The 13,996-nt window shown below is 38.6% G+C and overlaps 1 protein-coding gene across 14 annotated transcripts in view, besides 1 other annotated feature; it reads right to left on the reverse strand.

Annotated features, from left to right (window-relative positions):
• The window catches only part of HPSE2 (heparanase 2 (inactive)), an 858,875-nt gene that overhangs the window by 683,047 nt on the left and 161,832 nt on the right, over nt 1-13,996 (reverse strand). For 10 of the 14 annotated variants that reach the window (XM_047425614.1, NM_001166244.1, XM_011540029.1 and 7 more), the window contains one exon: nt 4,115-4,276. The exons of 3 other annotated variants lie outside the window; for them this stretch is intronic. In XM_047425614.1, the coding sequence (XP_047281570.1) occupies nt 4,115-4,208 (94 nt within the window). In that variant the 5' untranslated portion in view covers nt 4,209-4,276. Of the gene's footprint in view, nt 1-4,114; nt 4,277-13,996 lie in introns of those variants that run through there. One more of the 14 variants, XM_047425616.1, reaches the window with a different exon arrangement.
• Nucleotides 12,846-13,441: an enhancer, noted in NCBI's record as "H3K27ac-H3K4me1 hESC enhancer chr10:100912726-100913321 (GRCh37/hg19 assembly coordinates)". NCBI's record gives its function as "activates a minimal SCP1, AML or CMV promoter by ChIP-STARR-seq in naive H9 embryonic stem cells {active_cell/tissue: H9 hESC(naive)}" and the evidence as "EXISTENCE:reporter gene assay evidence [ECO:0000049][PMID:30033119]".

Raw genomic sequence — 13,996 nt, forward strand, 5'->3', positions numbered from 1 at the left:
AACAGTCCTTGTTTCACTGATTTGCACACTGTTGCTCAATTGAAGTTAATAGAATGGGCCACAACTGGAAGTGGAAGTCTCTTTTGCTTAATTTATTTGCCACAGTAACACTATAAAGCCAACCATTGGAATCTCAGTCCAGTTTGGAGTCTAATGACTGAATGAAGAGGTAGAAAACCAAAAATGGCAGCCAACACATGACAAGAATCCTCATAAAGGAATATTAGAAAGTGTCTTGTGTAATGCCATCCATCTATAATTATTGGCTACAGTTTCAAGCTGTCTGGATACAGACAGTTGACTAGATGACTTTCACAACACAAATAAATTTTTAGAAATTTGACCTCATTTCAGGATCATTCACTATGCTTTACATGCAATCCAGAATGCTGCACACATATGATATTCCTTGCCTTCTAGGAGTTTATGTTCTAAACAAAATCCTAGAAATGTTATTTCCCCATAAGGTTGACTTAACTTTTATGTTTTTCATTTGATTACAGCACAAGGATCTACCTCAAAAGTTCAATTTATACCTCAAGGGGAGGGAGCAAGGTTAAGGGAGACAACTGAATTCGAACCCATAAAAGTTATTTAATACACGTCAATATTATACCTAAAAAGTAGTCTTCTGGCTGGGTGCGGTGGCTCACGCCTTTAATCCCAGCACTCTGGGAGGCCGAGGTGGGCGGATCACAAGGTCAGGAGTTTGAGACCACCCTGGCCAATATGGTGAAACCCCATCTCTACTAAAAATACAAAAATTAGCCGGATGTGGTGGCATTTGCCTGTGGTCCCAGCTACTCCGGAGGCTGAGGCAGAAGAATCGCTTGAACCCAGGAGGCGGAGCTTGCAGTGAGCCGAGATTGTGCCACTGCACTCCAGCCTGGGTGACAGAGCAAGACTCTGTCTCAGAAAAAAAGTAGTCTTCTAATGAATTCATTCTTTATGTACACAGTAGAACATTTTCAACAAATTTATAGAGCATTGTTGTATTAAGAATCATGAGAGCACAAAGAACACATCTGATTCCTGTTCTTTTTTTAAAGTCTCCTACCCAATTCTCCCTCTCATTAGCCACTCCTTGAGTGACATGCACAATAACAACACTCTCCAGCTCAAGAAACTGCAGGACAAACATATACGCCCCCATAGGTGAGTCAGTGGGAAAAGTGCAGTACATGACTCATCACCATTTAAAACAGTTCCATCACTGATGCTCTACTGGAATTACTCCATCATCTCCCTGTAACCTTAGAGTTTACTTTAAAAACCCTCTAGGCTAGGTGAGGCTAACATTATTTCCAGTATCATATAAACCATTGACATGAAAACATTAAGACAAGTTTAAAACTATGCAAAAATATATTAAAAGAATCTACTTTTCTACAAATACAATGTAATAAGGAATACTTCAACGAAGTATATATATTAAATTGTATTAGTTTTTATTATTTCCATTAACTGGGCTATCACTAACAATTGTAGAGTTGTTTTCTTTTATTAAATGGTTAAAAGACCTTCAAAGCTAGAATACAATTTGCCCTTATCTGGAGTAAATAAGTGGCTGTTTAACAGGGATCATTAGCTGTAATGCAGAATATGAAGGCATGCCTCTCCCATCAACAGCTGACAGTCACATCAGGTAAAGGTGGAACATCAAAGAATGAGGACTTGCTTGTGAGGTGGAACTCAACAACTATCATTTTTAACATGCTTTTAACCATCTGACACTTGAATCACTTAATTTTTGTTACTATACTGATATCTTAGTTGTCCCATTTTTAAAATAAAGAATATACCAGTAACTGACCAGAAAACAATTACTATACACCCATACACATAAAATTCTATAAATAACTGGTGGGTAGAGGAGAAGGATGTAAAAAGTGATCTCTTTCTGAGATTGCAGAGGCCCAGTTTCCTCATTGTGTTCGCACATAAATACTTTCATTGCAGATATTTCAAGGTTATGCCAGACTTATACAGAAAGAAATCCTGGACTATGTGTTCTGAATGTGCTGGTAAAGAAAGTCACTTCATTTGAGAGGTCCCTGCCCCTTCAACCTCACCCTCCTTACCAATATACATTCATCACTGAAAAGGGAAATATTTACAAAAGTTAGTTTAGTTATGTTTAAATATTATGTTTAGCTGTCTGGAGACCATGTTCTCAAGATTTATACAAGAAATCAAGGATTAAACTTCATAACAATTAGAAAACCACACTGTGTAAAATCAAAGACTTAGTTAAAGGAAATTAAAATAGTTTTACCATTGGTGCTAAACTGAAATGGCTCCATCTCTTCCCAACACCTGGAATCAAAACCTTTTGAACTTTCATGTAAATAAATGAGGACATGCAGAATGCTCTGTCTGCAGCAAGGTACCACCTCTGCACAGGCATTTGGGTGAAAAATGTGGAAAATGCCTGAGGACTCTTTGAAGCAGCTTAGGAGAAGTGAGAGCAGGAAAGAGGCTCTTCTCTAGGGTAAGTTTGTTTAGTAGAAAGTAAGCAAGTTGTCAGGGTAAAAGTTGACAATGTTGATTCCAACAGTTTGAACTGCGAATAAACATCCAAAGGGATTATGTTACTGAGAATTAGAAAAGATTCCACTAAACTCAATAGAACACTTGTGTTTTCAAAGATAATATGCCTTCAAGCCATACTCTGGAGCCTCGGTTTAGGGTTAGAATTACCCTAAGCCCTTTCTATACCACATTAAAGAACACAAGGTCTGACCCCTCTTATAAGTGCCTAAAAATATTAGAATAAAGATGGAATAAAAATATTTCATTTCCACTCACTGAATTGGAAAATATTACACACACACACGCACGTATTTATACACACACACACATGCACAAATACATATGAGGTTGACTGAAAAAACCTGAAGAAACATCTATGCTCTTCCCAAACATCTAAACTTAAACCCAATTTCACTAACCAATTTAGGGAAATACATGCATTGGCCATAAATCACTTTTAAGTTTTCCCTTCTTAATGACCTATCAAAGAGCAAAAAACAGGGCCTATACTTATGAAATCCATAATCCCCTTTTCTGCTCACCAAAGCCACATTTAAGTCTGGCTTTCATCTCATGCTGTTGGGTTTTTCACCAGGTACAAGATGAAAAGCTGGAAGAGTCCTGTGCTTTTCTAAAAGCAAAACAATTTGGTTGCCACTCAGCAATTCCTGGTGACATGCCAAGAAGTCTGTAAAAAAAAAAGTTAAAGTTTTCCTAACTTAGAGCTTACAAAAATAAGTGTGAGATGTTCATAGCCTGTCAGACAATCCATCTTTTTATTTTTTTAATATTCATAAACAAGGGAAAACACATACTTTTGATTTGTTAAAGTTTATTTGGATCACTATAACGTAGGTCTGCCTTATGTGGTCTCAAGAAAATGGAGGTAACTTGGACTGCTCTTCTGAGTTCATCTCAAATCCTTAATGATTCTCACATAAGATTCTGCTATTATAATCTTTTCCAAAGCCTGACAAAACCATGCAGCTCATTTGCTCATTACCAGCAAGTCTGCAAGCAGCCTTGAAAAAAGTTGATTCTCCTTGTAGCTCTGACACATATTCACTTTCCTCCTAGAATCAAGGATATAAGGGAGCACGGCTCAGTCTCATAGCCTCTTTGCTCTTAAGAAGAAAATCAAATTCCCCAGATATTTCCAAACTCCACCAAGAATAGAACATTCTCTGCTCTGCCTGAAGACCATTATCTCTTTTACATTTCATCTTTATATTCACTGGGTTCATAGAAAGGGCATACACAGAAAGAGGAAAATAGCTGCTTCTTAAAAGACACCAAATTTAGTAATTCTCTCAAATCTACTGGCATACATTTAGAAAGTCGTATTTTTAAAGGCTTCAATAGGTTTTCATCAGTTCTGTGTTTTGAGAAGAAAACACATGCTGAATCACCCATAACTTCAAACCAAAATATATCTGCAAACTACAAGGAATATTTGTAATAGAAAGACAAGTCATCACAATTTAAAAAGTGATATAGTGGGTGTAGACAGACAGATGTGTACCCCAAAAAACAAGTTACTAACTGAATGCTCTAAGATTTCAACCAACTCCAATAGCCTTACCTGTTAATATGAGATTACTGTAAGTATTGGAGAATTGCTCCTTTAGAAGAACCAGATGCATCTGAGCTGCCTTCTCCCTTTGGAGCTCCAGCATAACATCAGGGTGCTGGGCAATCTTGCAGCCTTTCTGTTTATCTAAGGCAACATCACTTCGAACAATGTCTACAAAAAGAAAGAAAGAAGGCAGGCAGCAAAAACTAAAACAAAACAAAAAATAATACATCATCAAAGTCTTGTTTCACCCAAAATGACAGAATTAATAAGCTACCAGCATTTTCATCAACCTAAAGAGATGCAGAAGTAATCAGAAGGCTCTCCAACTCCATGACACATCCTGAAAGTTCCTCTGGTCATTTCCAAATTCTTTGGAGATCTATCTGTTTCTTAGCTCTTTCTGACATCATTTAAGATTCTCACTCCTCAATTCTCCTTCCCAGCCCTTCAGGACTTGTTTACCTCCTGGGGCCTTTTCTTAACATATCTTACCGTTTTCCATGGGAAAAAGTATTATAATACAATTTTGAATACTGGTAATTATGAAGGTCATTCTCTCTACCTCGTGCTACAGGACCAGGTGATAGCTCCAGCATGTGTATTTAGGATACTTGGTCTATTTTTAAATTCACCTGCCAGCCAGCCTACTCAGCTCAAGTTAGAGCTGCCGATCTATGGCTTACCTGGTCATGGTTTTTTCTGCTATTTTTCATGTACCTCGAGTAAAATAGTTTAATTCTGACTTAATAATCATTCTTTCAAACCAAAAATATTTTTTGAGTCACTGAAGAGAGCACAGGAGGTCTAGAGTCATGGAAGATCTGCCTTTTCCCCAATTATTTTCCCATACTGCTTTTTATACTTCGGAATGATTTTCATTCAAAGCAGATATAGTCTCCAGAAAACAGCTTCCTCAAAAAGAAAAATTCATACAGAATGCTTCAGCCAGGCGTGGTGGCTCACGCCTGTAATCCCAGCACTTTGGGAGGCCAAGGCGGGCAGATCACGATGTCAGGAGTTCAAGACCAGTCTGACCAATATGGTGAAACCCTGTATCTACTAAAAATACAAAAAAACTAGTCGGGTGTGGTGGCACACACCTGTAGTCCCAGCTATTTGGGAGGCTGAGGCAGGAGAATCACTTGAACCAGGAGGTGGAGGTTGCAGTGAGCCGAGATTGCACCACTGCACTCCAGCCTGGGCAATAGAGGGAGACTCTGTCTTAAAAAAAAAAAAAAAGAAGAAGAAGAATGCTTCCCAATTAGCAGGAAGCTCTTATGCCCTAAAGTTATTTATTAATTTTTTACAAATTAAAATATAATTCAACTGATTCTCATAGGTACAAATGATACCATCAGCAGTAATCTAGGTGGCAACTCTAAAAACTTTCAAGTTTTGCATAACAAAACTGAAGAATTTTAATAGAAGGCGCTAAAAAATAACTGCTTTGCCACTTTTGACACCAATGATTTTGGAAAGAATAAAACTAATGCCCATGTTAATGGTACTAAAAGAAAAGCTATATTCAGTGACACTTAAGAGAAAATAGGGCATATGGTGAAAAGGGTGAAACACTGTTCTGGAGAAGTAGTCTTTTCTTTCAGATTTCTAAAAGAAAAGCCCAGGTATAAATACAAACCCATGACTATGAGAGTTAGGATGTGTGGCACACAAAGATAAGCCAGATGTGAAAATGGTCCTCACTAATTCTTAGATTAAAACAGGAGAGCTGAGTAGAAATTATGCAGTATTTATGCCTAAACATGTATATACCAATTTCTTGAATATGGGTAATAAAATGAACTCATTTAACAAATAACTAGTCTCACAGATTTTCTGAGACTTAAATACAAAAATTGTATAAATAAGTTCAAGAATATACTAGCTTTTAAGACAATCCAATAGAAGTCAAGAGGAATAATGCAGTTTACATTTATATAAATTACGTTCTATAAAATTTTTTGGATTACATCATCTCATTGGATCCTTCCAAAAATATTATCAAAGTAAATGGCAGACATTGTTGACTGGCTGACCCAAACCCTAAACACAATCCCTTCTCCCTTGGCTTCATCTATTATAGAGACTGAAAAACTACACTATACAATTTCCCAGCTTTCCTTGCAGAAAAGGGTAGTTATGTAACATGGTTCTGGAAAATGAGCTGCAGGCCGACATCTTAAAGGGGGACTTCCCTTGCCAGATTAAAAGAGAGAGCCTCACTAAGAGAAACTCAGTTTTTCCCTTTAGTCCTTTAGTCCCTCCTATTCTCTATGTCTAAAATATAGACATGAAGCCCAGAGTTCTAGTAGCCACTTTGTAACCTTGAGTTAAGAAGCAAGAGTAGGGGTCGGGCACAGTGGCTCACGCCTGTAATCCCAGCACTTTGGGAGGCTGAGGCAGGTGGATTACTTGAGGTCAGGAGTTCAAGACCAGCCTGGCAACACGGTGAAACCCCACCTCTACTAAAAATACAAAAATTAGCTGGGCGTGGTGGCACACGCCTGTAGTTCCAGCTACTCAGGAGGCTGAGGCAGGAGAATTACTTGAACGCAGGAAGCGGAGGTTGCAGTGAGCCGAGATCGTACCACTGCACTCCAGTCTGGGTGAAAGAGTGAGACTCCATCAAAAAAAATAAAAATAAAAATAAGCAAGAGGGTAAAGGATTACACACTAAAAGTGTTGAACAGAAAAATGTAAAGAGCTTAAGTCCCTAATGTCTTTATTGACCTACCATACCTGTGCTAGACTGCCTATCTCTTAATTTCTTGTCATGAGACAAATATACTATTTATGTAAGTCATTAATAGTTAACTGTTTTTAAAATTGTAACCTGTTGTATAATCCTAAATGATAAAGAACACTATTATTGCCTCTATCTTAAATACGACGAAACTGAGGTCCACAAAGCTTGACTTGCACAAGTTCACAAAACCTGGTCAGTGCTCAAATCCAGGGATGTTCAAAGCCAATTTCAGTGCTCTTTCCAGAGCTCCTATATGAAACTCATGAGCTTAAGAGTAGAATTACATTAAACAATAAAAGGAAGAACTAAAAAGAAAAACTGAGTTATACTGTTACAATGGTATTCCATAGACTGTTCGTGTGGAAAAGAAATATGAATGCTTTCTCAGAAAAAATTATAAAACTTGTATCAAAACATACTATAAAAAGTGAAGGAGAGTTTCAATTACCCTGATATCTTCTGACACAAGTCTAATTTGAAGAGTAGAACACCAACTAAACTCCCTATTTCCTATCTAATAAATATATTGCTCAGAATGCAGCAGAAGCAACAATTACAACTGATATCCTCAACATCATTCCAACAAGAACCTTGAAATAAAGTAACTACATTACCTTTATATTAATAACAGTCAGAAAGGAAAACTATGAACATGGCCAAACGTATGCCCTAAACTTTAGAAAAGCAGATTTCAAAAATGTTTAGGGAAAAAAATAGATATGCTGTATCTAAAGTAAAAGTATGAATTCCTTATTCAACTCTAATCTGCTTGAAATTGTATCAATGACTAGATAAACACAAAGCAAAGATACTTATCAAAGAAGCACATGGTAATATATCTGGAGGAAGAGTTAGTATCATGTATGACACACTCAAAATTCAAAATTATCTTGGAAATCTAAAAACTTAGGCTGAAATCCCAAAAATGGAAGGTAAAGACATGAACACAAATCCTACATTTATACTGAAAATTAATGATGTAAGATTTAAGATGGGAAAGCCAGACCAAACAGAAGCTCATATACTTAAGATCTTACTAAGATTTGTAGGCTTTAGTTGAATACCAGCTTAATATAAGTCAGTGCTATGATATTGCTGCCAAAATGATTAATGCAATCTTAGTCTAAATTAACAGAACCAGAACATGCAGAATAAAGAAGGCAACACAGCTGTGCTACATTCCTTGCCTCCCAAGTGCAACACAGTGAAGAGTTTGGAGTTAAGCAGACCTCTGTTCAAATCCTGGCTTGGTATTCACTTATTAGTTACAAAAGTGGCAGACAAAACACCTTTCTAAGATTACATTTCTTTAGCTACTGTTATTGTACAGATACACAAAAGGCATTGCACTAAGCATACAATAAGAGCACAATAAAGAGTACCTATAATTATTTTTGTTATTAGTATCCTGCTTGTGGTATTACATATTTCCAGCTATAATAGTCTCAGATGAATCCTGGTAGTCTAGAGTAAGTCCAAAGAAAAGTACAAATATGGAAAATAATGTTGATCTTTTAAAATAGCTGAAACTGGCCGGGTGCAGTAGCTCACGCCTGTAATCCCAGCACTTTGGGAGCCCAAGGTGGGCGCATCACCTGAGGTCTGGAGTTTGAGACCAGCCTGCCCAACCTGGTGAAGCCCCGTCTCTACTAAAAACACAAAATTAGCCAGGCATGGTGGCGCATGCCTGTAATCCCAGCTACTCGGGAGGCTGAGGCAGAAGAATCACTTGAAATTGGGAGGCAGAAGCTGCAGTGAGCCAAGATCGCGCCATTGCACTCCAGCCCGGGCAAAAAGAGCGAAACTCCACTCAATCAATCAATCAATCAATCAATCAATCAATCAATAAAATAGTTGAAACTATGATTCAATGGACTTTGGGGACTCAGAGGGAAGGGCAAGAGGCAGGTGAGGAATGGAAGACTATACACTGTTGGAACAGTGTATACTGCTTGGGTGATGGGTGCACCAAAACTCCAAAATCACCACTAAAGAACTTATGCATGTAACCAAACACCACCTGTTCCCCCAAAACTATTGAAGTTTAAAAAATAAATATATATATTTATACAAAAAAAAATAGCTGAAACTGAGCCTGGCAAAGAAAGAGCCAAAGATGACTTGCTTTCTCATACAGAAGAAATAGTTGACTTATTCTGTGGAAATCTAAAAAGCCAAACATTATGGGAGTACCCAAGAACCAAACCTGTTCAGTTCCACGTGAGAAAACTTTTTTAACAACAGAAGCTGTCAAATAAGGAAAAGGACTACTTCATGAAGGAGTAAGTTTCCCATCCCTGGAGATATTCAAGCAGAGAATGGGTGACCCAGGCATAATGAAGTAATTTCAATACAGATATTAAAACCTGCCAGATACAAGATTAGGTATTTTCACCTATATTATGTGAAGCAATACAGCAGGATGGTTAAAAGCACAGGTTTCGAATTCAAATATATACAAGTTTGGATCCCTCTAGTACTTACTATCAGAGAGCTCTTGGACAAACCACTAAATCTCTCAATGCATTTCCTAATAAAGAAGGGAATTTCCTTTTTTAGAAACATGAAAATACCAATAGCTTAATTGTAATGAACTTATCACAGTAATAGAGACATATTAGGAATTCAACAAGTGCCAGATGTTTCAGTGGTTGTCAATAATAACATCACATTGTAATATCAGAAAGTTATTATTGGAGGATAGTATTATTCTTTTAGGTCATTTCAACACTTTTATGGTTCCACAAAAATGTGTATTTTTCTTATGTCTTTATCAGACATAATACAAAGAATAAAGACTCAAAGCCAGAAAACTTAGATATACATTTAACTAATTTACCAAATAATCATAAAACTCTAAACGAAAAATTAAAAACCCTATGCTTGTTTTTTTTTTTTCTCCTGGTACACCAAACTGGGGAGTTTCTGGCCTGGATGATCTCTAAACCTCTTCATTCCCCCTGCTAGTTCTTCCCTCTTACAGATGTTCTTTGTTGTTATGTAATCAAAGTAGAGTTCCAAACTTGGGTCCAAATATGAAGCTATCCATACTCCTCTTCCCATCTCCCCTTATGATCCTTACCCTAGTATACAATTCAAGGATGCCAAAATACCCAATATATACCCTGACAGATGCAACAAAGGAGCGGGCATCTTGCACCAAAGTTGATGCACTAGAATCAATTTATTGTCTATAATTATTTCTGGACATCTAGGTATAAAAGCATTTGTATTTTTGTTCTTTATTCTTTCTTCCACAACTTTTCCATAAACTAACCAGTTAGTAACCCACAGCAGTGCTAGCCTAAGGTGGCAGTTCTGGTTGAGACAAATGACAGACTGGCAGACCAGCCAAAAAAATTTTTTAAGACAGTGTCTTACTCTGTCACCCAGGCTGGAGTGTAGTGGCATAGCCCACCACAGCTCGAACTCCTAGGCTCAAGCAATCCTCCCACCTCAGACTCCCAAACAGTCAGGACTACAGGGACACACCACCATACCTGGCTAAATTTTAAAAATTTTTTGTAGAGATGAAATCTCACTATGTTGCCTAGGCTGGTCTCAAACTCCTTGTCTCAAACAATCCTCCCGCCTCAGCCTCCCAAAGAGCTGGGATTACAGGCATGAGCCACCAAATCTGGCCTAGCTAAACATTTTAATAGAAAGACTCTGGCACTTCAGGAGACATAAAATGAGCTACATATGCTTTCCATGCAAGCTTGGCTGACTAGCAGGCTATATGCACATGCAAGGGAGCCCCAACATAGGCTAAGTTCTTCACACATAACTGGCTAATGGGGAGGCTACGCACAAACATGGGAGAGACCCAAGAGATCAGCAGGAAAAAATAAAGTGAAAAAGACCTAAAAAATGCCACAAAACTTAATGTGTTTATCAATCCACAGAGAAATCCATCAGCTGAACATGAAAACATTAAGGGTCCAAAATGTTTTAAACATAATCTCTGAACAGTCATTGGCTGATCACTAAGCTATGCAGACTCAGAGGCAAACCCTAGGAAACCAAGCTAAAAAATAAAAATAAAAATTTTTAAAACTATAAAGAAATATCAGTAACAGCACAACAAAAAGATATAAAGTCCAAATAACTTACCTAAAAACAAAGAAAACATAAAACAACAATTGTCATGGAAAAAAAGAACTACTTTGATTACAAAACAACAAAGATCAGCAAGAGGGGAATGGTATAGATTGGCTATAACCTATCTAAAATGGCCAGTTTCCAATAAAATATTACAAGCCATGCAAAAAAAAAAAATCAGAGAACTTAAAGATAGGTGAATAGAAATGACCTAACCTGAAAAACAAAGATAAAAAAGACCAAGGAAAAATGACCACAGCCTCAGAGAATTATGGGACAACATGAAGCAATCAAACATATGCATAACGGGAGTCCTACAAGGAGAGGAAAAATAAAGGGCAGAATTGTTTGAAGACATGATGACCAAAAACATTCAAAATTTGATAAAAATCATTAATCCACAGATTCAAGAAGTACAACAAACCTCAAGCACAAGTACAACAAAACTCAGCACAAAGAGATCCACATCTAGATACATTATAATAAAAATGTTAAAAGCCCAAGATAAAAAGAAAATCTTAAAAGCACGGAGGAAAAAAACTAATCCATAAAGGGAACAAGTAATACAATTAATGGCTGACTTCCTCCAATTTGAAACAATGGAGACTAGAAAGCAGTAGAATGACATTTACAAAGGGCGAAAAGTAACAGCAAGACTCTGTCTCTTAAAAAAAAATAAAGGAAATATTTAGCCAAACATGATGGCATGCACTTATAATCCCAGCTATTCAGGAAGCTGAAACAGGAGGACTGCTTGAGCTCAGGAGTTTGAGGTTGCAGTTACCTATAACTGCACCACTGCACTCCAACCTGGGCAACAGAGCTAGACCCTATCTCATAAATAAATAGCGCTAAAAGAAAACTTCTGACAACCAATAATTCTATGTTCAGCAAAACTATCATTCAAAAATGCAGGCAAAATAAAGTCATTTCCATATTTAAAAAAAAAAAGAGGCTGGGCACTGTGGCTCATGCCTGTAATTCCAGCTTTGGGAGGCCGAGGCGGGCAGATCACGAGGTCAGGAGATCAAGACCATCCTGGCTAACACAGTGAAACCCCGTCTCTACTAAAAATACAAAAAATTAGCCAGGCATGGTGGCAGGCGCCTGTAGTCCCAGCTACTTGGGAGGCTGAGACAGGAGAATGGTGTGAACCTGGGAGGCAGAGCTTGCAGTGAGCCAAGATCACACCACTGCACTTCGGCCTGGACAACAGAGCGAGACTCCACCTCAAAAAAAAAAAAAAAAAAAGACTGAGAGAATTTGTTGCTAGCAGACCTGCAACACAAGAAATATTAAAGGAAGTGCTTCAGGTTAAAAGGCAATGATATCAAGTAATAACTCAGATACACAGGAAGAAATGAAATACACTAGAAATTGTAAATATGTAAATAAACAAAAATCCTTTTCTCTTTTACATGTTTTAAAAACTCGTAAGATTATATATAGAAGAAAATATGTTTTAGTTATACCATATATAGATGTAATAGTAATACACAGAACAAAATTAACACAATAGAAAGGATAAGAAAAGAAGCTGTATTTGAGTAAAGTTGTTGTAATTTATAAAAATTAAGTTAACATTAACCTTAAATTGACTGTGCTAAATTAAGATGCATAGTAAATCCCTTGAGCAACTAAGAAAACAACTGAAAATGAGGGGGAGGAGCCAAGATGGCCGAATAGGAACAGCTCCAGTCTACAGCTCCCAGCGTGAGTGACGCAGAAGACGGGTGATTTCTGCATTTCCATCTGAGGTACCGGGTTCACCTCACTAGGGAGTGCCAGACAGTGGGCGCGGGTCAGTGGGTGCGCGCATCGTGCGCGAGCCGAAGCAGGGCGAGGCATTGCCTCACTTGGGAAGCGCAAGGGGTCAGGGAGTTCCCTTTCCGAGTCAAAGAAAGGGGTGACAGAGGGCACCTGGAAAATCGGGTCAATCCCATCCAAATATTGCGCATTTCGGACCGGCTTAAAAAACTGCGCACCACGAGATTATATCCCGCACATGGCTCGGAGGGTCCTACGCCCACGGAGTCTCGCTGATTGCTAGCACAGCAGTCTGAGATCAAACTGCAAGGCAGCAGCGAGGCTGGGGGAGGGGCGCCCGCCATTGCCCAGGCTTGCTTAGGTAAACAAAGCAGCCTGGAAGCTCGAACTGGGTGGAGCCCACCACAGCTCAAGGAGACCTGCCTGCCTCTATAGGCTCCACCTCTGGGGGCAGGGCACAGACAAACAAAAAGACAGCAGTAAACTCTGCAGACTTAAATGTCCCTGTCTGACAGCTTTGAAGAGAGCACTGGTTCTCCCAGCAGGCAGGTAGAGATCTGAGAACGGGCAGACTGCCTCCTCAAGTGGGTCCCTGACCCCTGACCCCCGAGCAGCCTAACTGGGAGGCACCCCCCAGCAGGGACACACTGACACCTCACACGGCAGGGTATTCCAACAGACCTGCAGCTGAGGGTCCTGTCTGTTAGAAGGAAAACTAACAAACAGAAAGGACATCCACACCAAAAACCCATCTGTACATCACCATCATCAAAGACCAAAAGTAGATAAAACCACAAAGATGGGGAAAAAACAGAGCAGAAAAACTGGAAATTCTAAAAAGCAGAGCGCCTCTCCTCCTCCAAAGGAACGCAGTTCCTCACCAGCAACAGAACAAAGCTGGACGGAGAATGACTTTGACGAGCTGAGAGAAGAAGGCTTCAGACGATCAAATTACTCTGAGCTACGGGAGGACATTCAAACCAAAGGTAAAGAAGTTGAAAACTTTGAAAAAAATTTAGAAGAATGTATAACTAGAATAACCAATACAGAGAAGTGCTTAAAGGAGCTGATGGAGCTGAAAACCAAGGCTCGAGAACTACGTGAAGAATGCAGAAGCCTCAGGAGCTGATGCGATCAAATGGAAGAAAGGGTATCAGCAATGGAAGATGAAATAAATGAAATGAAGCGAGAAGGGAAGTTTAGAGAAAAAAGAATAAAAAGAAATGAGCAAAGCCTCCAAGAAATATGAGACTATGTGAAAAGACCAAATCTAC

Source organism: Homo sapiens, chromosome 10 (genome assembly GCF_000001405.40).
Source record: "Homo sapiens chromosome 10, GRCh38.p14 Primary Assembly".
NCBI classification, from domain to species: Eukaryota; Metazoa; Chordata; class Mammalia; order Primates; family Hominidae; genus Homo; species Homo sapiens.